The sequence below is a fragment of the Homo sapiens genome, chromosome 7 (assembly GCF_000001405.40).
Source record: "Homo sapiens chromosome 7, GRCh38.p14 Primary Assembly".
Classification (NCBI taxonomy): domain Eukaryota; kingdom Metazoa; phylum Chordata; class Mammalia; order Primates; family Hominidae; genus Homo; species Homo sapiens.
Window position 1 is genome coordinate 91,133,222 of NC_000007.14, and position 27,469 is coordinate 91,160,690.

Here is a 27,469-nt window from a genome sequence, read left to right on the forward strand (position 1 = left end):
ATACTCCTGTCTATGTACTTTAAGTCCCTGTAAGGGTTAACTGTAGTTTCAGGCCCAGTTTTGCCTAAACTCAAATACACTGTGAAGTATTTGACAATATTAAAGTCTGTCTAACCAAATTCCTTAAACCACCTTAATGGTTAGTAACTAAAATTTTCAGGGATAATTATGATAACAATGAAAAAAATGTTGAAACAACTAATGTAAAACAGATTAAACAAATTATTAAGAACAGAGTAGACCATTTAAATATTTTAAAAATAAATAAGTAAATTAAAGTTTACCAAAGCAGATGAAATATGATACAGTCTTGAAAATTGAAGTTATTAAGCCAAGTAACATGGAGAAATACATGGGATAAAGTGAAAGTAGAATATTTTGCTTGTACATGTAAAATTTATACATAAGAAATATGAGTGAAAGGAAGTATATTGAACTGCTGTGTCCTTACTTTAACAGAGAAGATGGTTTTACCGATTTTATTGTATAATTAAGAAAGTTAGTTAATTTACATTTTTATAGCCATATTAGGCTCTCACTATATTCCAACCTCAGAGTCCCCTTGGATGGGTCCAAGTTCTTTGACGCTATCTCATTACCAGATTCTCCTCTGTAGATCTATGTTGAAGAGTCAGATACTACGCAAGCTAAGCTCATTTTACAACCACAGGGCATTCCATGAGTTAACGTTTAAAGTACTTTCTGTTACCCCTAAGAAATGCTGATAAATTAATACTAGAAATAGCAGTATCCAGATGATTAAGAGATAGCATAGAAACATAATTTAGCCAAAAGCAAAAAGAGGAGCTAAAGGAGTCCTGTCGGCATAAGAATTTGGGACTCCGGATTCTCCACCTGCTGCTAATCTCAATGGGCTTTTCAAAAGGTGAGGGCTTTTTGTGGGGGGAGGGCATTGAGTCTTTTTAATGAAACAATATGTACTTTCCTATGCCAAGACTAATTCTACAACATTGCTTTGTGGGTTGAGAGGATGGAGATGTTGCAAACAGCCATGACTATTTTCCAGTTTGATCCACTTGACTATAGCTCAACAGCTTGTAGCTAAAGTCTTTGAGGTAAATAATTTTTTTATCACTTCACCTCATCCCCTAAATATCTCCTGATCATGGCATTGTTGACCTACCTGCAAGAACATGCTACAGTCCTCAGAGGTCCACTGCCCGCTTGCCCAGACCTGAACTATTTGCAAAAGGTCAGAAGTTAAGATTCTTGACCTTATATATTTCTTATCTGCAGCTAAGGGGTAGAAAGACTGGGAAGGCAAAATCATTATCTTTTGTTTGTACTCTTTGTAGTGCAGAGTGCAAATAAATTTTGAGAAGAAAATTTCTATTAAGAAAATGAATTTAGGCCGGGCATGGTAGTTCACACCTGTAATCCCAGCAATTTGGGAGGCCAAGACAGGTGGATCAGTTGAGGTCAGGAGTTTGAGACCAGAGTAGCCAACATGGTGAAACCCTGTTTTTACTAAAAATATATACATTAGCTGGGCAGTAGTGGCATGTGCCTGTAATCCCAGTGACTCGGGAGGCTGAGGCAGGAGAATTGCTTGAGCCTAGGAGGCAGAGGTTACAGTGAGCCGAGATCACACCACTGCACTATATAGTCTGGGCAACAGAGTGAGACCCTGTCTCAAAAAAAAATAATAATAATTTATAGAATTTTTTGTTGTGTGTATATACAAACATATCTTGAGACCCTGAACCAGCTTATTAAATTGGCCGTTTTATGTAGTATTCAAATATGTATGTATTTACATATTTGTATACATATATATTTCTGTCAAAAAAAAGCAGTGTGTTTCATTTTAAATTTTCTTTCACTTGTAACTTTCCATGCAGTGCTTCATTATTCAGTAAGCTCTGCCTTTTGAATTGTTTATTTTCCCGTACTTTTCAATTTCCACCTTCACTTCATCTCTTTACTTGATATGTTACCAGGGAGGAACAAAAAAAGAAAACTGGGGGACAGAGGGTTGGGGGTGAAAAGGAGGCAGAGGGAGGAAGACTGCTGAGGGAAAAAAAAAGATTTAAATGAGAACTAGAATGAATGCCTCACTTGTTGGCTTTTAGCACAATTACCATACCTTAGGAAATATGCAGGGAATAGTTAATTACAAGTAAATGAGCCCCCTTTTAGAGGCAGTGGCAGGACCAGGCATCTGACTGTCAGAGCTGTGAAAGATATTGAATTGGAAGGCTGGTCTCAGTGTCAGGAATAGATGGTCTGCAAGGGTGAGCCCGACAGAGAAAAGATAGCCGGGTAAGAGTAGCCTCAGACAAGGGAGCCATGTATAGCATTTGCATACTTTTCCTGCAAAGAGGGTTTAATCCAAAGAGGGAGATTTCAGTATTGTCAGTCAGGCTTTGTTCAGGGTGAGGAGCAGAAGGAAATCAGCTGAAGGGGCCTTTCTCAAAGCCTTGGTCTCAGCCTTGAGGTTGTCCTAGCAAAGTTACGTTCTTGAGGGTTGTTTGCACACTATTGTCTGTTTGAAGATCTTCTAAACCCAAAGGGCTCAAAGCATCCCCCTTTGCCAGCACAAAAGAAGGGAATTTGTGTGGTAAAAGTGACTTGTGTTGCAAACTGAACCCAAGCACCCTTTGTTCTTACACAAAATACTCTGAAGTTCCAAGGATGTCTTTTAGAGCCGGACTCAGTGAGTCATACCATCAAAGTGCTCACAGGCTAGAAAACCAGGTAAAACCAACCTACACTTGTGTCTTTCTTTGCCAGCTCAGAAGAGACCTTTGTGTACTTCCTAAAGAAGATGGCTGAAAAAAAATGAGGCAGATAAAAACTAATTTTTATTGGCATGGATCATTTTTGCCCCATTTCCTTATAGCATTTTCTGATACAAAGTGTTTATGTCTAAAATGGAGGCAAATTATTCTGGCAGTTCAAGTTGTCTTAGCACCCGACCAGCCTTGTCTTTTATCTGGCAATGTGAGTTTCTGACTTTGATCTGTGTCCAGTTTTCAAAACTATGCCTTCTTTTCTAAAATATGATGTTCTATGTGGTATACCATGGTCTACTCTCCACCGTAAGTTTTTCTAATAATCTACACATTTACAAAGAGGAGTGTTTAATCATCCAGATATTTATGGGTCAGAAGTCAGGGCTTGTTTCAACTTCACTAGTTGATTTGAGCGTTACTGCCCATAATCTCTACAGTTTAGGAAAGTATGTACTAAAAACATAGACTCTGAATTTAAAAAACAGCAATGTACTTGTTTATAAGGGTAACATGGGTATCTGTGAGTGCCTTTTAAATTTATAATCTTCCACATGAAGCTTAATGCTTTAAAAATGTGATATCTTAACACATTTTATATATATAAACATACAGACTAAACATGCCTTGTAATGGATCCTGTAGGATATACAATAAAACTTGACATTGGAGTTTTGAAAAATATGTACGTATTTACATAGAGCAACTAATTCAGCTTGAGGTTTTCTGAATTAAGGATATTCCTTTATCACTGTTTTAGTTGTTTTTTATTCTTTTGCTGGATTTTTGTCTCATTTTGAAACTTTCTTAAAAAGACCCTATACAAATGCAAAATAAAAGGTAATGAAAAATCTGTTTAAGGGTCTAAAAGACAAGAAAATGTCCATCTGGATTTCAAAATAAAGGCAAAACTTGCAGCATGTAAAAAGAAAGATAAAGCACACTTTGAAATTCGCATGAGCCATCTTCTAAGAGAAAAGTTATGCCCTCTTCATTGATAATTAGGAAATCTTTTATCAGGATAATCATATTTTGGGATTCCCACTGATGTTATAATGCTAGTGGGTGTGGATCACAGGTGAAGTTGGAAGCTAAGACATTGACAATGCCCAAATTAGAGCTTTCTAAATTTATAACTGTGGATAAAATTGTGCTTGCTGCTTTCCTAAATATGTTATTTTTTGTTATGGTTGAAATGCTTGTCTCTGATCTAAGTAAACTCTGCTTTGCTGGAAGTGGTGCATTTCTTTCTCCAGCTTTGCATTTTCCCCTGTGAGAAGCATGTCTGAATTGGGGGGACCTGAATATACCTCTTTGTTGCTGAGCTTGTCAAGCACAGTGCTGTGTTCTCTTTCCCACCAGGAAGGTCAGGCCGCTGGGGGCCAATCTGTTTTCTGAAATGAACCCTACTGTCTGTCCCTGGTGTCTGACAGATTGAAACAGTTATCTGCATTACTGTGCTTTCAATGCTATTTAAATGCCTTGCTTTCTGGGAAAAAAAAGTAATATGTAGGCTCCATTGAAAAAATAAAAAATTTTTAAAGGACCGTGCTTGGGATGTTAATATTTATCTAAAAGGCAGATTTAATTAACTTTCTAAGAACATATTTACAGATTCAGGAAGTTAACTACATGCACTGTGCACACACACACGCACACACACACTCACACCAAGATAAGCCCTCACTTATGAGCTCTACTTCTAAAGACTTGTGGGGGGTGTGTGTGTGTGTGTGTGTGTATGTGTGTGTGTGTGTGTTTAATTGGAGTAATAAAATTATGAAGTATGGAACTGTTTCAATTGTGGAGTTTTAGAGTAAGAGTCTTTTGTTCACTTAGATTTCAGTTTCATGTATTTTGATGAGAGGTATGTATAAAGCCTGAAGAAATTTGTACTGTGCTGAGCCTCACTTCAATACTCTCCAGATAATTGAGCTAATTAAATCTTTACCAACATTAACACAACTCTGGCATTCCTTGGACAGTGGATAATTATTGCATGAACATGGCAAGCTTAAACTAAACAGATGAAAATAGAGTTCTGTGGAATGGGTATTGAGTTTATTCTTTATTCATCTTTTGATAAGGTTTAATTAAAACTGCCTCTCTCCATTGTGGTGAGAATAATGTGCTTGTTTTCTTAGTGAAAAGCAAATTATTCACTTCAGCCATGGTTCAATAATCAAAGCCTTTGCAAAGTTTTGGGTTATAGTGTAGCTGTGGGGATATAATTGCTGCAATTCTGTATGAAGGCTTTATCTTTTTTATTACTTTCTCTTATTTATTTTTGTAGAAAGAAATTTATAAAAGCCCATTTTGTGATTTCGTGTGGAAGTACATATGTTTGAAGCCTTGTTATAGGCTTGCTGTGGCTAGAGTTTTTAAAAGGTGTATTTCTTAGAGCCTCTTGCTAAAATAAAAAGGTGAAAAGGGACACACACCTAAATAGATGGCATTTGAGATGGATTTTTTAAGTTAGTGAAGAAAGTTTAATAAAACCTTTAAATCCTGTGGTTGCCACTGTATTGACATAGTGCATTGACAGTCTCAAGGGTGAAAAAGCAATAGACCTAGGGAATTCTTTCTGCAAATATATATTTGCATTCTCTTTCACTTTCTTTAAATCTACCAGAAATATTTTTATTATTGTTCTTTTAAGTGGGGTAGAATTTTTTTATGTTGGTGATAATTTTGTAGCATGAATAGATTTTATATATATTAATGACAGCTGATTGTTAAATGTATTGTCATGACTATCCTGTGATTTCTATTTCTTTCTTTCCCTCTTTTTTTCCTCATTTTTATAAAATGGGAGATTGTAAGGATATATAAGATATTTTATGGAACCAAGGACAAAAATAAAACTGGGCCCTGGGCGTAAATTGGAAACAGGGACTCCAGCAGAGATAAGATCTCTTTCTTTGTCCATCTTTTTGTTGCCTCGATTCTGGCTTTCCCTGCTTCTCTAGTCCATGTGATGGAAGCCAGGTTGACTTGTCCTGTGATTTGCAATAACAAGCAGACATCATTCGAGGTCAGTGTTCCCAACTCCTTGCGAAGAGAATCTGTCCTTCTTAGACAAGTGAATCAGCCCTACATCCAAATTCGAGTGCCTCCACTTACCACTTCTTACTGCATGTTTTCTTCATCAGTGCTCCCTCAAGAGGGAGGAAATGCAGACGGGAGCAAGTATTTCTTAATCTATAGAATTATTTTAAGTATTAAGTTACTGAATGCAGTGTTTTTTTAACTCCTTATTGGATAGTGATATCAATCTAGTAGACTGGAGAAAGTACTTCGCAAGTGGAGTAGACTAAACGGGAAAGGAAAATGAGATGATCACATGTAGTAAAAATAATAAGTATCATTTCATGAAATTTTTATTTCAACTGTATGTGTGCATGTGCATTTATATCTATACTGAGTCACTTAATAAAATGCATTTTTTCTAGTGAGTTGTGGCCAAAACAAATTTCAAAGCAGTCACTGCTCCTCAGATCCCCTTGAAGGTATCTCTTGGGAGGCAGTGGAAAGGGAGAGGAACACTGGGCAGGGCTTCAACCCCATCACTCTCCACATCAAAGTAGCTCCACTTTAATCTGTTTTACACTTTATGTTTCCACCTAAGATATTTTTCAACAAAGGATGCAGTGGCCAAAAGTTTGAATGAATGATTTCCCATGTTCCTTGGTATTTTTAGAGCTAAGTACAGTAGCCTCCAGGACCATAGCAAACATTATTTTGGTTTTCTTTACTAGGGAGAGATCAGGAAACAATTCAGAACTTTTCTTTTCTTTTCTTTTTTTCTTTCCTTTCTTTCTTTCTTTCTTTCTTTCTTTCTTTTCTTTTCTTTCTTGCTCTTCCTTTCTTCCTTTTTTTCTCTTTATTTTCCCTCTTTCTCTGTCACCTTTCATTTTTTTCCGTTCATTTCTTTCTTTCAAGACGAAGTACAGTTTCCCTACTTAATCCCATTGAAAAAAACTCTGAGACTTAGCACACAACCAGGACAACACTGAATCAGATTGAACTTTAAACAGCCTTACAATTTTAAACAGAGAAAAGCAGTGAATACCTCTCCCTGCAATTTTTCCTGTTTTGTTCTTTAGGACGGGATGAAAGGCAAAAGTGAGCAATGGTGACACGAGTGAGAAGGATTTGGGCAGCCTCCTCACATGCTCAAATAAGGTCCTTTTAAAACCGAGGATCATGGAGAGAGACAATCTCTTTAATAGAAATAAATAGCAAGAGAACAAAGACTAAATAAGAAAACAAACTGACTTCCCTAAAAGTGCATTTTACATGACTTCCTTTGGAAAGTTGAAATAAATTTAAGAGGTGCTTTTTCTGGCCTTGACATTGTATGAGGGGATCTGTGTGGCACAGACTGTCCTGGAGCCAGAACCTTATGTCGAACTCTTTTGTTTAATCCTGAGTTCTGTTGTGTCTGTTTGAGAAAAGATGTGAAGTGGTCATGGGCTTCCTTTACTTTGACCTTATGTTAGTGAGTCCTTTGTTAATCATTCATTGCACTAGCATCAGTTTTGTTGGTGGTAGACTTGATTCAGTACAGGCAGCTCTAACTCGGGAAGCAATATAGAATAGGGATTAATATCTTTGGTTAATACCAGCAACCTGGGCTTTCAGACTGTGCTATGCTACTTACCAGCTCTGTGGCCTGGGCTGAGACTTAACCTTTCTTAGCCTCAGTTTTTCCATCTATAAATCAGGAGTAGGAATGGTTCCTTTCTTGTCAGCTTGTTGTGAAGATCTAAATAGGAGGATAAAGTATTTAGCACAATACTTGCTTGCTCCGTAACAAGTACTCAGTGACTGTTATGAATTCCAAATTTCATGAAGTCTGTATAAATAAAAGACAGACGTATTCGAGATCTTTTATGATAGCCATTTTTTTGGTCTTTTTTTTCCATTTCTTTTACCTAAAATGAAAAAAAAAATCTAGACCATCTTACAGTGTAGTGTATTGCTTGGTAAAAGTTGTACATAACCATGACAGAAGGAAGAGCAAACCAGGGCTTGGTTTGGCATGAGGACATGAAGAAAAGGGATTTGTGGAAATTGGGAAAAGAGATGCAAGAGATTTTTGTACATCAGCAAAAAGCACAAAAGTTGCACTGAGTGTGTCACGTGCAGGGGATGGCAAGAATTTCCACTTGAGTGAAGCAAAGGAAGCAAGAAAGTGGAAGCAGTCTTTGAGGAAGTGTAAGTTTCATGACCCTCAGTAGGGGGCCATTCCAGAAAATCGTCAGTGTGACGTAGTCATGTAGTTAGAGTGGTGGGAGAAGGACAGAGAAGAATTAAAATTGTCTCCACTTTCTCAGATGAACTAATTGGCCAGATGGCACCTTCACTGGCGACTTCAAAGAACTCAGAAGGGGCAAGCATTAGGTGAGGATAATTAGGCCAAGTCTGGTGGTATAAAGTAGAGGTGTCCTTTCGTTTAGGTTGATATAGCAACAGAGAGAGAAAGAGAGATAGAAATTAAAAGCAGAACTGAAGATTTGGGAGCCTCTGGCATAATAGGACTTGATGGGATAAACAAAGATTCAAAAGCTGGGTCATTGTTACTGAGCTGTGAATAGAGGTCAGCACAGACAACAGAGAAAGTAAGGTCAGAAAAAAAAAGAGAGAAATAAGTTACAGGTGCATCTCGGCTACCAGCTTCTCCATGATGCCGAGCCAGGGCATTCCAACCTACAGTTATAGTGTCTTTCTCTTACTTTTCCAAAACACTTGTGGAGGTTGTAACCTGGAAGTCTTTAACAGATACTGCCCGTATACCTAGGATTTGCCTAAAACAGTGGGTTTTGTTGTTGTTGTTGTTGTTGTTGTTGCTGTTGTTCTTTTTTTTGAGATGGAGTCTCACTCTGTCACCCAGGCTGGAGTGCAGTGGCGTGATCTCCGCTCACTGCAAGCTCCGCCTCCTGGGTTCACGCCATTCTTCTACCTCAGCCTCCCAAGTAGCTGGGACTACAGGCGTCCACCGTCACGCCCGGCTAAATTTTTGTATTTTTAGTAGAGACGGGGTTTCACCATGTTAGCAGGACGGTCTCAATCTCCTGACCTCGTGATCTGCCCACCTGGGCCTCCCATAGTGCTGGGGTTTACAGGCATGAACCACCATGCCCGGCCAACAGTGCTTTTAAATATTTAAGATAATAGTCAACTTTTAAAACTATGTAGATTTTACATGAAAATAATTTTTTTCTGCATCTCATTTTTTTATTGTTGTTGTTAGAAAAAGGAAGATTAGACCACTTTGGGCATTCTCTAACAGCAGTGATCAGTAGGGCTGAGTAGTGGCTGCCTTCTTTAGCAAAGGCTGTGACCTGAAGTTTGCCACAGTCCCTGCCACTCCTTCTTGTCCCCCTGCCACTCAGACTGAGAAGCAATTGCTATTTACCTTCACCTTCTGTGTTGTTTAACTTTCAGTGGAGGAAAAGAAAAGTGAAATATTTCTTGTAGCCATGTCTCTGTTGTCCGTGTCAAATGTAAAAATAGCCCAGAGGAGCCTTTTGTTGTAAGAAGAATTGACAAGAGCCTATTTCCTTGTATAAATAATCTAGGCCACTTCACTCAAGTTGCCTTCTTGGCCCTTATTGAGCTGCTGTCTGAGAACTCATAATAATTGTATGGCATTTAATCAGGTTTATTATTATATGTGTTTAGCTTCCATTTCCAAGGGAATCATAAAGCTTCATCAGGTAAAGTTGGTTTATTCCATAGCATATAACATAATGTTGTACACAAAGTGAAATATGTGCATATAGTTTCAGGGGAACCAGGAACAAAAGGAAAAGACTGTAACAAGTTTCTAAAGAAGAAAGATCTCCTTGAAAATAAGTGACCCAACTGATTGAGAATGAGATGACAAATTAGCAAACATTTACTAAATGCCAACAGATCTCAGATGGATTTTGTAAGAGATCCAAAGATGTACAAGACATGGTCCCTATTGTCAAGCAGTTTACAGTGCAGTAGATGACATAAGATACGGATGATTCACCCAAGGTAAAATGTGAAAATTACTGTTATATAAATATAAATAAAGTGCAATGAAAATAGAGCAGGGACAGACCTCATAAAGTTCAGGGAATGCTTCATGGAAAAGATAGCATCTGAGCTAAAACTTGAAGACTAGGTGGGATATTTATAGTCAGGGATGGGCTTCCAGGAAGGGGCACCTAAAACCACAGAACAGCTGAAAAGTCCAGGATATGTTTGAAGCTGGACAAGAAATGTAATCGCCTCAAAAACAGAGTAGGTGAGTGGGTACCTGTGTCCTGCTTAAAGGTAGGAAAGAGAATGTAGTAAAGACCGTTCACTATAGCGTCAGAACAAGTACAAGCTACTTTTTTTCTTAACCTTTTCTCTTTGCCTCTTATTTCTAGAGATGGCTGTCATGCCATAAAGCACAATTGTAAGGTTAATAATAATAATAGTGGATGGGTACAGTGGTTCATGCCTGTAATCAATCCCAGCTCTTTGGGAGGCCGAGGAGGGAGGATCACTTGAGCCCAGGAGTTTGAGTCCAGCCTAGGCAACATAGCGAGACCCTGACTCTACAAAAAATAAAACATTAGCCAGGCGTGGTAGTGCTCACCTGTAGTCCCAGCTACTTGGGAGGCTGAGGTGGGAGGATCACTTGATCCCAGGAATGCAGTGAGTCAAGATCATGCTACTGTGTTCCAGCCTGTGTTACAGAGTGAGACCCTGTCTCTAAAATAATAATAATAGTAATAGTGAGAACATCTCACTTAATGAGTGCTTACTGCATGCTAGACATCATGTTGAGCACTTTACATGAGTAATTTCATTTAATCCTCATAACAACCCACTAAGGTAGGTGTTCTTATCCCCGTTTTGCAGAGGAGACTGAGACCTGAGCTGTTCCTTCATGTCCTCAATGTCTTACAGCTATGAAGTGGTAGAGCTAAATTTGTAAGCTAGAAAGAGGTCATGTTGTTGCACTTATCAACTGGTCTTTTTATTCTATCTTCTGACAAGCCTGCATTATTTTAGATGTTTCAGTCATAATCTAAGCCTGTGCAGCTATTTAGTTGCTAATGTCTAGAGAAGCTTTGGCTACCTCTAAGGATAAAATTAGAGGTTCAAGAACTACAGTGCCCCCAAAACCCTTACCAGATCAAGTTAATTAATCTGTAACTTGAACACCCTAAAGGCCCCATTTAAATACAATTTCACTGTTACTGAGAAGCTCCAGAACCTTCATTAAAACTGAATGCAGTAAGAAATAAAAAGTATAAATCTGTCTTTAGAATCATGTTGGTTTTTCAAATAGATATCACAGTTATTAATAAAATGATAATGTTCTCTATAAATTTAATGAAGGCACAGTTGGTCTGAAAACATTTGCAATTTCTACATAAGCATTTGTTTTTAAAAAATATATGCTTGAGATTCTATTATTATGGGCCATATTTGGATGGTATTGGCATTTCACAAATATTTCTTTCAGGATCAAAAATGCAGTAGGTGCAGTAGAATTCAACTGCAGCTTTAGACTGACCATTTTTAATAGATTCAGACAGCTTTCCCTTATTTATGTTGACACAAGGGAGAAGCGACGCAGATAACAGAAATCATTGAGTTTGAGGATGCAGTGTTTGGACCACGCTGTATCATCAGAGTAATTTTTGATAGTCTCATAGTAAAAGTAGTTTGGTGCCTTAAAATACCAACAATTTTGGCCAGGATTTCTAAAGTGCCTGGAGCAAGTGTCCAAAAAGGGGTAATCCACTGGTAGATATTGGCGGGCTTGGAAAAATTGTTAAAAACAATGTGAAGAATCAAAGGTAAAACATGCAAGAGAGAGATGATTAAAAAGAAAAACATAAGCAACTTCTAGCATTTTGTTGCTACTATGAGACTTTTGGGTTATATCCTTAGAATTAGATAGGTATTAGGGACATAAGGGCAGAGAAAAGAGAAATAAGGGAGACTGTTCCTTCCTAAGGATTTGAACACTCAGATGGATCGCACTACTTTCCTTTCATTTTCACCTTTTTATTCTTACTTAACTATTTGCTGAAGCTTATGTGAGTTAAGCCATGAGTGTTTCAGGTATCAACTACTCTTAAAAACAAAAAGAATTGGTAGTCAGGATTCCTAAGAAAAACACTAACTGGATACGACAGAGGGAGGGATGACCTATTCTCTTCAGTGTTTTAAGATTTCCTATTGATATTGATAACCAATGTATGTGAAGACCTGTTCCGATTGAGCAATCTCACTGCGATCCATATAGTGCCTTATTTCTTTAGACATACTTTTTTTTAGAGGGCTGAAATTTAAATTAATAAATCAGCCAGGGCTGCATGCCAACATGACTTGAAAGTTAACTGGAATTTATTGATCTGCAGCCTACAAGCTGTTCTATGCCACACTGCACATAAGAAAGCCAGTCTTTAAAAGTCGCAAAAAAATTTTAATTACCTCAAAAAAGACATTTTACATTTCTAGACAGTAACCGTTGTTTGAGTGGGCCCTTCTCCCCTCCACCCCTTCTCCCTCAAATTGGGTCATTAGTGACTAGTGTTGACAACAATGATAGCTAATGCAACGTTCACAATCCATGCTCAATTTTCTGTGTTAATGGAGGAAATGGAAGAAATGGCTTGCCAGGCTGGTCACTCTTCAGCTCCTGTCCCTAAGGAAATTCAGTGAGCAGGCATAACTGTCTTGATGATAATTTCAAAAGATGAATAGGCAACAAGAAGCTGCTCATCTTCCTTATTAACTTGTTATGTATCTAGCCTCTCTGAATTTCCCAAACTCCTTAAGTCTATTTAAATTTGTCACTAGATGCTTTCCCTTGAAGAGCTACCTGTTGGGTAAATCTAAGTCTTTCCTATCCTGTGTCCTAAACAAGCCCTTTAAACTTCAAAGGGATTAACCTGGCTTGCTTTATTTATTTATTTATTTATTTATTTATTTATTTATTTTTTATGTCAAGGCATCACAGATTAAATATCCTTTTATTTGACTCAAACTGAACAATAACATTTAAAACACACAATGGGAAGCTGTGCAGTTATCTCTCAAAATAGACAATGATGGTTTAATGAAGAGGTTGATAAAGCATATGTAGAAAAATCAGAATGTCAAAATAAGTACCAAGGAGAACATATACTTTGAAAAGGGGGCTAAAACATGTAGCTATACAATCTGGGGTTCTTATTGATTGATGGATTGATTGATTGATTGAGACAGAGTCTTGCTCTGTTGCCCAGGCTGGAGTGCAATAGCGCAATATTGGCTCACTGCAACCTCCAACTCCCAGGTTCAAGTGATTCTCCCGCCTCAGCCTCCTGAGTATTTGGGATTACAGGTGCCCACCACCATGCCTGGCTAATTTTTGTATTTTTAGTAGAGTCAGGGTTTTGCCATGCCGGCCCTGCTGGTCTTGAACTCATGACCTCAGGTGATCTGCTTGCCTCAGCCTCCCACAGTGCTAGGTTCACAGGCGTGAGCCACCGTGCCCAGCGCTGAGGTTCTAATTGGTAGTCGTGCCAACAGTAATTGGAGAAACATGTTCCTAATTGTTGATGGGGAGAGGATTACAGTTAAGCATACATATTTTAATACGTATTCAATATCTGAATTTGAAGAGTAAAAATGCATTGCTTTTACCACTTAGAAAGAGTTAAAATCAGATCCAGTTATTTGACACAGCAAAGACATACAAATGTACATGGCAATAGCAAGTTATATTGTTCAGGCAGTGAGTATGATGATACCCCACTTTTGTCCTTTGCCATTCTACAAATTTTTCCAGTCATTCCAATCTCAACTTCCATTTTTCCATGCTGAACAACCCGCATTTTCTACCTTCTTCCATCTGCCTCCTTTTTTCTTTGATTATACACATACCTATCAATGAAATTATTTCCCTCCACTTTTAAACACAATATTTAGAATATTCTATTTCTACAATTTTATGGGACTTTTCTAATCATGTATCTTGCAGGATGTCGTAATCAAACTCACACAAATTGGGTGGGTGTAGACAAGTCAGTTTGGTAAAAGAATAAGGAGCATCATTTGCTTCATCAGCATCGTCTGATGATCACCTGTGTCATCACTTTCAGGGTTCCAACAGCCCCACCTCCACTAGCACCTCTCTCTGTCTCTCTCTCTCTCTCTCTCTCACACACACACACACACACACACACACACACACACACACACACACTTCTTCCCATGGTTTTAGGTATTTTATCACTTGGAAGAGGCAGATGTGTCCTGCAAGATTTGCCTTTTTTTTTCTTTTTTGAGTGTACTCTCTCTCTTACTCCGAGATAATTTTCAATATTAGAAAGAAAGTCCAACTAATGCTGGCTGCTAGTTACTTTTAACACTTCTCTGATGGAAAATGTTGGTTTGACTCATTATTTCCCCTCTTTAATCAAAGTTTTCTTTCCCGGAGAAAACATTCTCCCCAGCCCCATGTTAACTCTATTTTTCTAAACTGTCTTTGATGAAGAACCTTGTCAAGGGCTTTCTGAAAGTTTATAAATTATATCCTCTGCTTATTTACTGTCTCAGATAACTCAGAATGATTGGCGAGACATGCCTTCTCTACATGTAAACCATGTTGCCTTTCTCCTAACAGATTATGTTTGCATATATGACAATTATATTGCACTTTATTGTAGATACTGTCTACTTGCTATATTTGAAGTGGAGCTGTGAGTCCCAGGATTCAAACCAAACTCTTTCCCCCCTCCCCCCCATTAAAGCCTGGATGGGTACATGAAAAATTCAGGATAATGACCAACTCTGAAATTGTTCAACCCTTTGGTATGATAATACTTGATAACTTTTATTTTTGTCTTTGTTTCTAATTATGTTTGACTTTAAAATTAGCACGTTTAACATTAAAGTCATCATCAGGGAATCAGTCAAGTAGTAAAAAGAGACCTTGGGTTAAATGCTTATATGTCTATCCACACACATACTTACATGTATACACACATATGCATATATAATCAATAGCTATCTCTGGCTTCTGAGTATGTTTGAATAAAATTAAGCTGTATAGTCTGAAATAAAAATGGATTTTTAAAGGGAATTTGCAGGCCAGGTGTGGTGATTCACGCCTGTAATCTCAGCACTTTGAGAGGATAAGGCAGGAGGATCACACCTTGAGCCCAGCAGTTCCACACCAGCTTGGGCAAGTTAGAGAGACCCCATCTCTACAAAAAAATTTTAAAAATTAGCCAGGTCCAGTGTGGTGGCATGTACCTGTGGTCCCAGCTGAGGTGGGGAAATCACTTGGGCTGTGGAGGTCAAGGCTGTAGTGAACTATGATCATGCCACTGCATTCCAGCCTGGGCAATCAAGCGAGACCCTGTCTCCAAAAAAAAGGAATTTGCAAATAGATAATGATGTGCATATAACTACATTTTACCCACATAGGAATCTTCCATTTCCATTTCCTCTGATAAGATATGACGGTAGCTTCCTGGGTGGGTATGAAGTTTGTGAGGTAATAGTTAGCATTGGTGCCTTAGGGTAAAAAGTGGAGTGCCCCTCTGAGTACAGCCTGACCTAGATGTTTAGGCTACAATGTCAGGTGAGCCATAGTGTCCACTCTTAAGGACATTGCATTCTTTGGGGAGAGATAGACAACAATCAGTGAGTCTGGTCAGAGGAACGAGGACCATGGTCAGGCACACCCAGGAGTCCCTGGGAAATCCTGAGAGGGGTGTATAAATAGGCCGCTGGTGGGATGTCTTCCTTTGCAGTATTATTTTTTTTTCATTTCCTTCATATTAGTACAAGCCAACAAATGTTTGTTCAGTTCTTGCTATTTACCAGGCACTATGGGAGATATACCTACTGCCTGTAAGGGGCTGCAGACCAACAGCATCAGTTATTGAAATTTTATATAAAAACATGAGACACCATATGTGAAAACCTGTAATCAGGGAGACTGTGCCCTGGAGTGGAGACCTAATGATTTTAGAGTACTTCGGATGGACCAGTAGTCCTGGCTTACTGTTAATAATAACATTTATTTAACACCTTGACTTTTGCTATAAAACAATTTTGCCCTGTTGAGAAAGGAATCATTGCAATATACAAGCAAAAGGTCCATATCAAGATACTGAGTACATAGCCCTTGAAGAAGGGAAGTAGTAACAGATATGAGATGTTATTTAGGTGGGAAGAAACATTGAAAATGGCTTTATTTCAATATTTCAAAACATTTCTTCCCTCTTCTGAAACCATTTTCCGAACGTGCCATTCACTTTGGGAGCTTCATAAAAAAAAAAAAGGCACCACTTTCAGCACGTTACAGCCTATTTCTTCATGCTCTTTCCTTTTTGACTTTCCTTCTCTTCCCTTTGTGCCACCTTACTTGAGTACCCCATCCTCCCATGCAGGCACACATGGAATTCCAAGTGTGGAAGCAAATTGCTGATGGACTGCAAATGATATTCTAATAGTTTTTAGCAGTTTAAGCTCTCTCTCTGTTAACATGTAGCTAATGCATAAAATGTTAATACTCCTTAAAAAGAACATATGTTACAATCTTAGTGCCTTGTCAGACAGACTCTAATCTGTTAGCAATTTTAGGCTGACAAAAGCTTGTTCTTGGCCCCATATCTGTCTCTACAGTTCTCTCCACTATATATCCTGTGCAAGTTCAAAGCATGATGATGACATTAGATAGCACACATGTTGGTTTCATTAGCTAGCTCTAAACTGTTTTATGTGAATGCACTAATTTCACTGTACAGAATTAACTAGGCCATATGGGTGTGTTCTGGTTGCCCTGATACATTCATTTTCTTCCACTCTGTTTTCCCCCTCTCTTTACTGACCCTGTGCATCCAAATCTGTAGTGATGGGGGAAAATTGATTGACTCAGAAAGTAGGGGATTGCGATGTAGTGATTTCACGCTCAGTTGTTGGCTAACAAGGCACCATAGTTTTTATTTAGTGAGCCCTGGTAGCAGGAGATGAAGAATTGTGTAGGGCCCAGCTGCCACGGTTACAGAGCAAGCAGCTTAAAGGGCTTCAGGGTTCCAAGTGTGAGGGGAATTGTCTCTTCTCAGCAGGTAAGGGATAGATCTAGGCAGAGTCTGTTGTGTTCAAGATGCTGACTGGCCTGGCCAATTCATAAATCCAAAAAATTACAACATCTTCTGGTCAGGAGGAAGTGGAAGGGACATTCAATGGTGCATTTAACCCTTTTAATGCCAGGATATAATACCTCTTGCCTGCTGGCTGTTTACGGGGGACATTTCGTGTTTAAAATATGTCTTTAAAATGTAATTTTCATTTCCAAGTCTCCTTTTAAATTAAAATAGATTAACCAATTAATTATCTATTTAGTGAAAGCTAGTTAGTCAATCCATTTACATTTGCTGCTCTCATATATTTACATGTATTTCAAACAGTTGTGATTTTTTTTTTCCAGATTGGTCTAAAAGGACTAGAAAGCCCTAAGGTTTATGTTCTCATTGTGTATGTGTGTGTTTCTACATGTGTTCACACACACCCAAACATATATAGGATCACACTAAATTTATACAAGTTTTTAAACACTTAAACTTTATTTAGTATATAATCATTTTTAGTAAGAATTTGGCCTTTACTCCATCTATGAAAAATAGTTGTTAAGTCAACAATGGTTCTGAAGAGAAACACAAAGGATAGGATTTGTCCTATTAGGAAAACTATTTTCAAGCATGTTAGAATTACTGTTAATATTCTGAGTCCAAGTGAGCCCAGGAAGGACCTCTAGTTGATGAAGTTAGCTTTCTTCTAGTTTCTATATATATTTAAGGATAATACATTTTTATCTCTTTAAAGAACATTAAAATTTAAATTTTGATTCAGATCTGTCAGGCCTTTTAGCCTGAAAGATAGATCTGAATCAAAATGAATTAGGTATTACTATAATAAATACAAGATTCCTATTTCTTATTTGCCTCATTAATGCATAAAGTATTTTTATTGTGTTTGTGTGAAGAACTCTGCTGAAGGACACAGATGTCATTATTAATATTTTCTATTTAATGCCTGCAGTGTCCCGAGGATTGTATATCCCATGAAGCAGACATAATTTATTCTTAAAACTGGAGTTCCCTTGGTGGGAATACTCCCTGTGTTTCTGCTTTAGTATTCAGCCTCTTGCTCTTACCCTTCTCATTCCCACACCCCAGTCTTTAGGCTGTCTCATAATTTGGGACTGAGAACTCAAAAGTCCCAGTTTCAAAGTGAGTCTGATTTGCTAACAGGTACAAGTCCAGTGGGAGCATCCTCATCACAGAATCCACTCATTTCAAATCATATCCCTGATACAGAATAGACCTATTAAAAGTGGCTTGTTGCTATTCAAATCCAGACAACTATGAATTTAATCATGCTCTCATTCATGCAAAACATAATTTCACCTGTTAAAAGCCTGAGCAAATGTAGTTAGCCTATAAAGTTGGGGGCTGGACCTGAGTTTCTCTAACTCCAGAGTTATGATGGGGTTTCATTTAAAACCATACCTTTTTTATTTCCTGACTTTTGTTTCTCTGGTTGATTTCTTAACAATGCTATTTTAAATAATATTTGCCATGCTTTTACAACAATCTAAATAGAAGCTGGTTTGGAATGACATCCCTCTTGGCGGTCCACATTTGGTTCTAAAAGGTCACTTGTGTTCATTGTATCATGGATGCAGAAAAGAAAAAATGCTTCCCTTTTCTCTGCATCTTCTGCCTTTGATCCATACTCATGCCTAGATGGGTGACAGAATTCAGTGGTAGCTAAATGCCTACATTTCATGGTCACTAAGATGGAGAAAGGAGTCTCAGTTTTGCCCACCTATGATGTAATGTTATAGCCCATCAAGCCCAAAACAGAAAAGTGAGGTAGTCTAAAGCAATGGAAATTAAGGCCAACATGAGATGGAACAGTCCTTGCAGTATGCAGACTCAGTTGGAGTTATACCCATGCATTACATAAAACCGAACTTGTGTGTTTGGGATTATGGTGTTCTTAAATGCTACCAATGGGCTTGGTTGGCTTTGTAAACCAGTCATACTTTCCTCATGTGGTTACAACTTCTCCAAAGCCTCACGGAAAAATTATAGCTCCCCACATAGACCGCTTATTCATAGTGTTGTGTCTTGTGAATCGTGGTATGATCTTTTGGTCTCCATAGAAACATAGCAACTTAAGAGTAATTTAGAATAGAGTGGGGAAGCATACCAACTAGAATTACCACTTGGGAATCACAATCAGTCAAAATTCTTTTTTGTCTCCTTCACTTATTTCATTACTAAATCATATAATATCAGAAATTACTATGATGGGTAAGAATTTCATTATATTACATTTTTGGGTTTACTTCTATGCATCTCTTAGCTATCTGGCAAAGCTAAGTGGATATAGAACATATTCTTTAGCTTTAATATTTATCTAATTCATTTCATTCATTGAATTATTTCTGGTGCTTATGTTGTGTTGCATTCATAAGTCATGTGAAAGTTGCTTCCAGAATTTTCTTCAAACAACCTGTACTTATTTTACATAAAGATTCATCTATTTCCTGTAATCTGTCATTTGTTCAATAAATCTTTATTGAGTACTATGTGCTATGTGCTGGGGCTGTAAAGCTTAGAAATAATTAGATATTATCACAGTGCTTAGGGAACTGACAAATGAGCAAGAGAGACATGCATGTAAAGTTGATATAGGTAGGAAGTGCTGTAGCCCAAGTGTGAAAAAATATGATGTAGGAGACAGAGAAGAGCAACTCAGGTTAGCATGTCAGCATTAAAACTCTAGCACATAAATGTGGGAAGCACTAGTAACACCATTTTCCTGATTTGCCTATGGTAAGAATGATCTTATATAATAACTATATGCCCCACAGGTTGAGTACCATTTTCCATGTATGTCAAGAACAGAAAGAAGCCCCAAATAGTTTATAGTATAAATAAGTCAAAGCTATGCTCTGAAGAATTCAAGGGAGAGATTGATACATCTGTTTCAGTGAGGGGTTAGAGATGGAGTGGAGCTGTGGCCAGCTGTAGGGCTGGTGGGAATGGATCAGGGCAGCATAGCTAGGAGACTGGCATGGCAGGGGTCAAAGATTCTCCTGGAAAGATGCAGACATGCATTGAAAAACTAACAAGAAGCCCTAGACTCAGGAACTTGAATTCTAGGCAGAGAAACTTTCAACTTGATGCAGCAAACAATAAGTATTTATAATAACAGATGCTGGTGAGGTTATGGAAAAGAAGGAATGCTTGTACAGTGTTGGTGTGAGTGTAAATTAGTTCCACCACTGTAGACGACAGTGTGGTGATTCCTCAAGGAGCTAAAAGCAGAACTGTCATTTGACCCAGCAATCCCATTATGCTCAAAGGAATATAAATCATTCTCTTACAAAGACACATGCACACATATGTTCATTGCAGCATTACTCACATTAGCAAAGACATGGAATCAACCTAAATGCCCACCAATGATAGACTAAATAAAGAAAATATGGCACATATACACCATGGAATACTGTGCAGCCATAAAAAAGAATGAGATCATGTCCTTTGCAGGGACATGGATGGAGCTGGAGGCCATTTTCTCTGGCAAACTAATGCAGGAACGGAAAATCAAATACTGGATGTTCTTACTTACAAGTCAGAAGTAAGTGATGAGAACACATGGACACATAGAGGGAAACAACACATACTGGGGCTTATCAGAGGATGGAAGATGGGATGAGGGAGAGGATCAGGAAAAATAACTAATGGGTACTAGGCATACTACCTGGGTAACGAAATAATCTGTCCAACAAACTCCCATGACACGAGCTTACCTATGTAACAAACCTGCATATGTACCCCTGAACTTAAAAGTTTTTAAAAAAAGAAAATTAAGTTGACAAAAAAACAAAAGTATTTATAGTTGTGTCTTTGAGCAGGGAAATTACACTATGGAAGTAGTGGGATTTGAATAACGTTTACTATGGGAGGGAGTTCTGACTGCAATGTGTAAATATGTTCATTGAAAAATTTTGCAAAAGCATGAAAATAAATCTCTTAAAGTCACCAAACCTCAGAAACAATTTTGATTTTAACATTTTTCCATCTTAACATTTTAATATATTTCCAGGTTTTAGGGGTTTTATTATTTGTCTTTGCTTTTTTTTTTTAAACAGAATTGGGGTTATACTTTACTTAACTTTTATAATCTCCTTTTTTTTCTGCTTAGTAAATCTTGAATATTTCCCCATGTCATCAAATCCTCTTCTGCTTGGTGTATTTTCCTTAATATGAATGTGCCACAGTTGTGTTTGGCCAACCATTGAACATTAAAGTTGTTTCCAAGTCCTAACTACATGATTCATGTTGCCATGAAGATCTCTGTATATAAATCTTTCCCTACATTGCTAATTATATCCTTAAGATACACTTTCAGAAATTTTAAGTCAAAATAAATTTCAAGCCAACAGATATGGATAATTAAGGTTGCTGGTACATATTGCCACCTTTAAAACACTTTTAGAAAAATTAAGTGGATATAGTATGCAGCACATCTTGGAAGAGAAATTCTGTGAGAAGCAATTCCATCTCAGATGGCTGGGTTCAAATCCTGGCTTCTCTTACTGTGTCACCTCGGTCAAATAACTTAATCTTTGTGCCTTGGTTTCTTCCTGTGTAATGAGATAATTCATTTGAAGCAATTAGAGCACTGCTTGGCACATTCTAGCTGACGTTATTGAGTTGTTGTTAGTATTATTATGGCAGTAATTTAGCTTTGAAATGATGAGAGCCTGGGTCAAATTAATGAGAAGAAAGATACAGAGAGAAATCTTTGACAAATCAGTCATATTTGGTGACTAATTGGCTATATAGGCCAAAGAAGGGAGATAAGTGAAAAAATGAGCCAAACGTTTTAAGCCTAGGGAAGTGGATGTTTCAGTGATGAAAGTGGCCTCTGGCTTAGGGCATACTGAAGTGGACACAGTGGGAGATGGACACAGGCTAGTGACTATAGATTTCAGGGTAAAGAACGAGGAAGGGCATGTTGATTTGGTAATGATCAGAAGTGAACTATTGACATGAAAATGGGTAGACTCCCAGGAAAAGTGAGGATTGAGAGGACAGGGCTTAGGATCCTAGACTGCTGGAGGAAAGTAGAGAGAAGGAACAGCAGGAAGGAAGACCAGCTAGCCAAGGATCTGAGAAGATGCCATTGCAGAGGTGAACAGAGAATCATAGTTGTGGGAACCATACAAGGATAAATGTCACAAAGAAGAGGGTAGTCAGCAATGCCAAATAGCAAAACGTCCAAAGGTGATGGGAAGTAAAGAAAATTACTAATTCTAGTTAATAAATGAAAGGTAAAAGAGTTTGCATTTTCTTTGTGTATTTCATGATGGTTCTTTTGTTCATTTTTTTCCTAGCTTCTCAAAACTTTCTTTGTGAATTTTAGTCACTATGTTTTATTGGTTGTTTTCAAACACAACTTAGAATTCTTTTTATTCCATTAGCCACATTTTAAGAAAACTTGTGAAGCAGTTAGTTCTCCAACTCACAGTGTAACAGATCTTTGTTTCTTATTCACTATCATCTTTGACACAGTTGCCTAAGCATTTGGTTCATGTAACCATTAAAAACACATGAACAAAAATACTAGAAAATAAACAAGATTGCAATGTTTTATACAATAATAACTTGCAAAGTCTCCCCTTTGAAACTGAGGCCATTTTTGTGTCATTGAAGTATAGTAGAATGACCCATTAACAAGATTTCTGTTGGGTTTATATATTAAAACAGATGAAATCATTTTAAACAAAATGTTAAAAGCATTTACTTCCTAGCTCAGGCTAAGCTTGATCCAAAAATTATTTAACATTTGTCCAAAATTTAAAAACAAAATAAAACTAAGTTTTGACCCCTAATTCACTTGCTGGGTAAAACCTGGAAAGACATTTTGAGATATAAAAACTCTATCACTAATTTAAAATCATTTTTAATTTCATTCCACTTTGTACCAGTTGATTTCCCATAATCAGTTCGCTGTTATTACATTTTAAGGCCTAGCTTGTTGGCACTCATTTATCACCTTCTAACTTTCTAAGTAACTTTGTCTGGAATAGGCCGCCAGACCTCTCATTAACTAGTTGCCCACTACTGGTGTTTCCCATCACCTTTAAAGTACAATTTGTTGTTTGTTTTTTAATTTAATTTGAAATATAATTTCCCTATAGACCTGGTCTACCTGACTTTGAATTAAATCATTCCAAGGTTGATTTTTCCCCAAAATATGTGGTTGGATAATTTTTAAATCTCTTCATTAAATTTGGCTTAAACTGTTCTTTGTCCTGTTTTCTATTACTTCTTGGTTGCCCAGCACAGCAATGAGCCCCGATGGATTCTTTAGAACGGCTGTTTGACAACGATTTAAGGAGGGAGTGAGGAGATCCTTTTCTTTTTTTTTTCTTCTCGCTCTCTCTTGCCTACAGCTGCTCTCAATATGGCTCACCATGACTGAAAGGAAATGAATAAAGATGAGTTATCGGAACTGAAAATCAGCCGCAGAGCAGAAGCAATTCGTACTCCCCAACCCATCCCCAAATCCAGTGGGGAAAAGGAAGTCATTGCCATCGTTTATTTATTCATATATTTTTAATGGTGGGAGGATTATTTTTTAAATCTTGTACCTATAAGTGGTGGCCATTTGGAGCATTTATGAAAAGCCATATGGTTTCAAATGAGATTCCCATCACATTCTCTGCATTTGAAACCATTTTATGCTGAGCCTCTTGGCAGGGTCCACACTTGGAGCATGAGCAGCCCCATAAAACACTGTAGACAAAACTGAAGAACATGCAAATAGCACTTAAGGAAATGTTGGGGGTTTGAAATGCCATTTTTGGATGGGCCTTCACTTGGATGATACAACTATATTTTATTTTAAGCAGCTATCATTTCCATATTTTGTGCATTACATGTCTCTAGGAATTAAATTCCATCCTTGTGACTTAGGTATCTTAAGTGCTCAGAGAGATTTCAAACAGGGAAACGTGGAAAAAGAGTTGGGAATTTGGCTCTGAATTAGGATGCAAAATAAAGTTCATCAGAGAGGTTGCTGAATCACACGTTTCATATTTTCTCTTTCTCTATGAGAAGAAAGAATGTGTGTATGAAAAGCAATTTCTTGCTAAAATTACGTCATGTCTCCTTAGATTTTGGAACATGAGCACCTAAACTCGGGCCGCAATCAGCTTATCCATGAAGAGCAAGAGGCTCACTGTGGCTTGATCCTCAAAGGCCCCATAGTGCTTCTAGTCATACTTCAGATTCATGTAGACCTGGGTTCAAATCCCAGCACATCACTTCTTGCTAACTGTGTGTCCATGGACAAGTGACTGAATCTCTCCAAGGCTCATTTTCTTCATTTACAAGTATGAATGATACTGCTAATCTTACAAAGCTGATGCTGTGAGTTAAATGAGAGAGGACAGATGTCAAATGCCTCCTATTACCTGAGAGGCATTGGGTCATTGTAGCATGGCCATTAGGAGTTCCAGTTCCGGAGTTAACTGTCCTGGTTTGAAAGCTTCTCTGACAGGTATTAACTTTGTGGCCTTGGGAAAGAAGCCCCCATTTCCCATCTAGAGAGTGACGGCAATCATACTCATATCCCACAGATGTATGATGAGAAGTGACTGTAATGATACATGTAAAGCTCTTAGACTAGCTCCTGCATGGCACATGGAAAGTTCTCCACACTCTCATTTGCTGACCTTGCAGGATGGTTGGGCAAATGGGCATTAGTATCTGTAATTCCTAGCATATAATGAATAAGCAGTATGTGGTAGCTGCTGCCCCTGTCATCCAGTGCCGAGTCCCACTTTACAATGAGTATTCTTGGTCAAATACCCTGGTCTATCATGGCCACAGGAGCTTCTGGTCTGGCACGTGCCATCTGGGATGCCACTGTATTTCTCAAAGCCATGATGAGTTTCATAACTCCCAAGAAACTTTTTTCTCAATATCCATTTGCCAAACATTTTTTATATAATATATTATATTATATACATTAATTATATACATTAAATATATATAAATATTTATATATAAACAGTATATATACATTATATACATTATACATAAATATACATTAAATATATTATACATTAAATATACATAAAATATATATAATATATTATATGTTTGGCAAATATATATTTTGTATATATAAGCTCCCATTCTGCAGCCTAGGCTGGAGTGCAGTGGTGCAATCTTGACTCACTGCAGTCTCGACCTCCCGCGCTCAAGCATTCTGCCCACCTCAGCCTGCCGAGTAGCTAGAACTACAGGCACATGCTATCATGCCCAGCTAATTTTTCTTTTTATTTTTTATACGCACAGGGTTTTGCCGTGTTTCTCAAGCTAGTCTCAAACTCCGCAGCTCAAGCGATCTGCCTGCCTTGACCTCCCAAAGTGCTGAGATTACAGGCCAAACATAGAAATTTTTGACATCCATTAGGTTGTTGCACTTCCAGACTCATTACAATGGAGATGTAGAATTTGTCACAATTTGCATTTTAATGGAATATGAAATATTCTCTAGTTTTGGAGAAGTTTTTCTGTGAAGTAATGTGTGCTTTCCAAGATAAGTATATTATAATGAAAATTGCCATAGAAAGGAAGACTGTGAGAGGTTGTTCTAAGGCAGGAATGTGAGTAAGTGGTCCCTCTACCCCGTCAGAGGTAAGGAATTGATGGTCAAAGGGTTGACATCTTTGTCCAGCTTAGATACAGTCAGGTCACAGGTGACATGTAATGCCCTGGCTGTCTAGAGGCAACCCCCCAAAAAGTTAGGTTCTTGAACTTTAGGGCTTGAAAAGAAAGTGGGAATTATGTTGTATTTCAATAATGTGCTTTTACCAGAAGGAAAAACAACTTTTAATATCTGTGAACACTTTATTTAATAGCCAACAAATGTGATATGTTGCTGATAGAAAAAATGTCTATTTCAATGTTGTGCTTCATGGTAATAGAACAAAGTAGAGTTGATATTGTAGTAACCAGGCTCCAAAAGTGTCATTCTAATGAAAAACAGCACTGTTTGGGCAAATATTTTCTGGCATCTTTATATTTCTTTTAACTGGAAACAGAGAACATGCTGGCTTGGTATCATGACTGTGGGATACTGTGTTTTCTAACAAAAAACAAATTGTGGAAACAATTTTGCCAAGAAAAATGAAGGTGATTAAAAGGTATGGAACCCAGTACTTCTGGCTGCTCACATCTAACAACTTCATGGCCATAGATTGGCCTGTTAACTAAGAGACTCAGCATGGTCATGCTGTTGCCTGCTCTTATTTTCTAAGATAACACTTAATCATCCTCTGTCTGCCTACTGCCTCAGTGGTGAAAATAAGCATTCTGTAGATATGAATAACTTAGCATCATGAGAATTATAAACACTTGGACATTTGGAAATGATATCTGAAATCTAAAATAGATCTAATTATCAATTACCCATAGCCAATTATTCAAGGTCCATATTATCTAAAGTGTTGGCCCAAGCTTGCTGTCTGGACCGATGGGAGCAGAGGATGTGCCCAGCAGCAAGGCGAAGTGGAGCTGGCCAATGGGCTCCAGACCACAGTAATCTCAATGAGCCGGGGAAGGAAACAACAATGGACAGAAAGCAGCTGTCTGAGTTGTGCATGACAACCAAGAGTCCGCCAGAAGTTAGGCGATGGGACCAAAACTGAGGTTACCAGCCCAGGACAGGAGGTTCCCAATGCGACTTGGTGGTGGGTTCTGGGGTATGGCCATGGTGGTGTTTATGGGACACCTGTACCCTCAGTCATGGATGGTGAGGGAGCTGTAGTGGCACGGCAATAGAGCTGCTGAGTTCTGGTGAGCTCGGTTTTCCTCTTGTTTTCAGCTTCTTAACAATATACTACCTTTTCAATGCATGAGTGTGATGGGAAGTCATTTTTACTGGTTAACAGCTAGGATTTGAATTTGTCTCAAGAAGCATACTGCTTTTGTCTGAAGAAATACTGATTAGAGATTATACTTAGGAATGTGATCCACTCAGATTGGGAAAATGAGATGATACAAAGATTTCCTTTAGAAAATCCGAATTACTTTGTTCAGGAGGGAGAAAATGAAGATGAAAGAAAATGAAAAATAATAGGGAGAAATGAATCATCTGAGTGTCAAAAGACCCTGTGCCCTCGGCTCTGCCTTCCCCATCATCAGCAAATTGCACTGGAAGCATCTAATGTGAGCTACAATTTATTGTGCATGGCCCATTCCAGCCCAGGCCCCTGAGAGCATAAGTACCACCTCCACCCTGGAATTTATAGATACCTTGGGGACTGTGGACTTCCCTGGGCTGTGGAATTGGCAGGGTCCCTACCAGTTTTACCCAGACTTAAAGAGCAGGAAAGTCCCCAATCACCATCTGGATAATATATGTATAAAGATTATGTTATGATGGGGGGGGATATAAATTCATATACATAGCCTGCAGTCTATAAATACTTGTACTGAAATGTTCTGTTCAACAGATTATTGAAACCTATAGCCAAAATTTGGTGTGTAGTTATCTATTGATTTTACTTGTCCACTTTTACAGGTAATCAAATATTTATACTATATATATTTTTAAAGATTTTCTTTCTCTGTTTC

At 37.9% G+C, this 27,469-nt stretch overlaps 1 protein-coding gene across 4 annotated transcripts in view, besides 2 other annotated features; it reads left to right on the forward strand.

Annotated features, from left to right (window-relative positions):
• CDK14 (cyclin dependent kinase 14) overlaps nt 1-27,469 on the forward strand; it is a 614,270-nt gene that overhangs the window by 536,901 nt on the left and 49,900 nt on the right. The gene's annotated exons all lie outside the window — the stretch shown is intronic.
• Nucleotides 2,846-5,918: an enhancer, noted in NCBI's record as "VISTA enhancer hs1628". NCBI's record gives its function as "enhancer in: forebrain[8/8]" and the evidence as "EXISTENCE:transgenic organism evidence [ECO:0001131][PMID:17130149]".
• Nucleotides 14,678-18,300: an enhancer, noted in NCBI's record as "VISTA enhancer hs1633". NCBI's record gives its function as "enhancer in: forebrain[8/8]" and the evidence as "EXISTENCE:transgenic organism evidence [ECO:0001131][PMID:17130149]".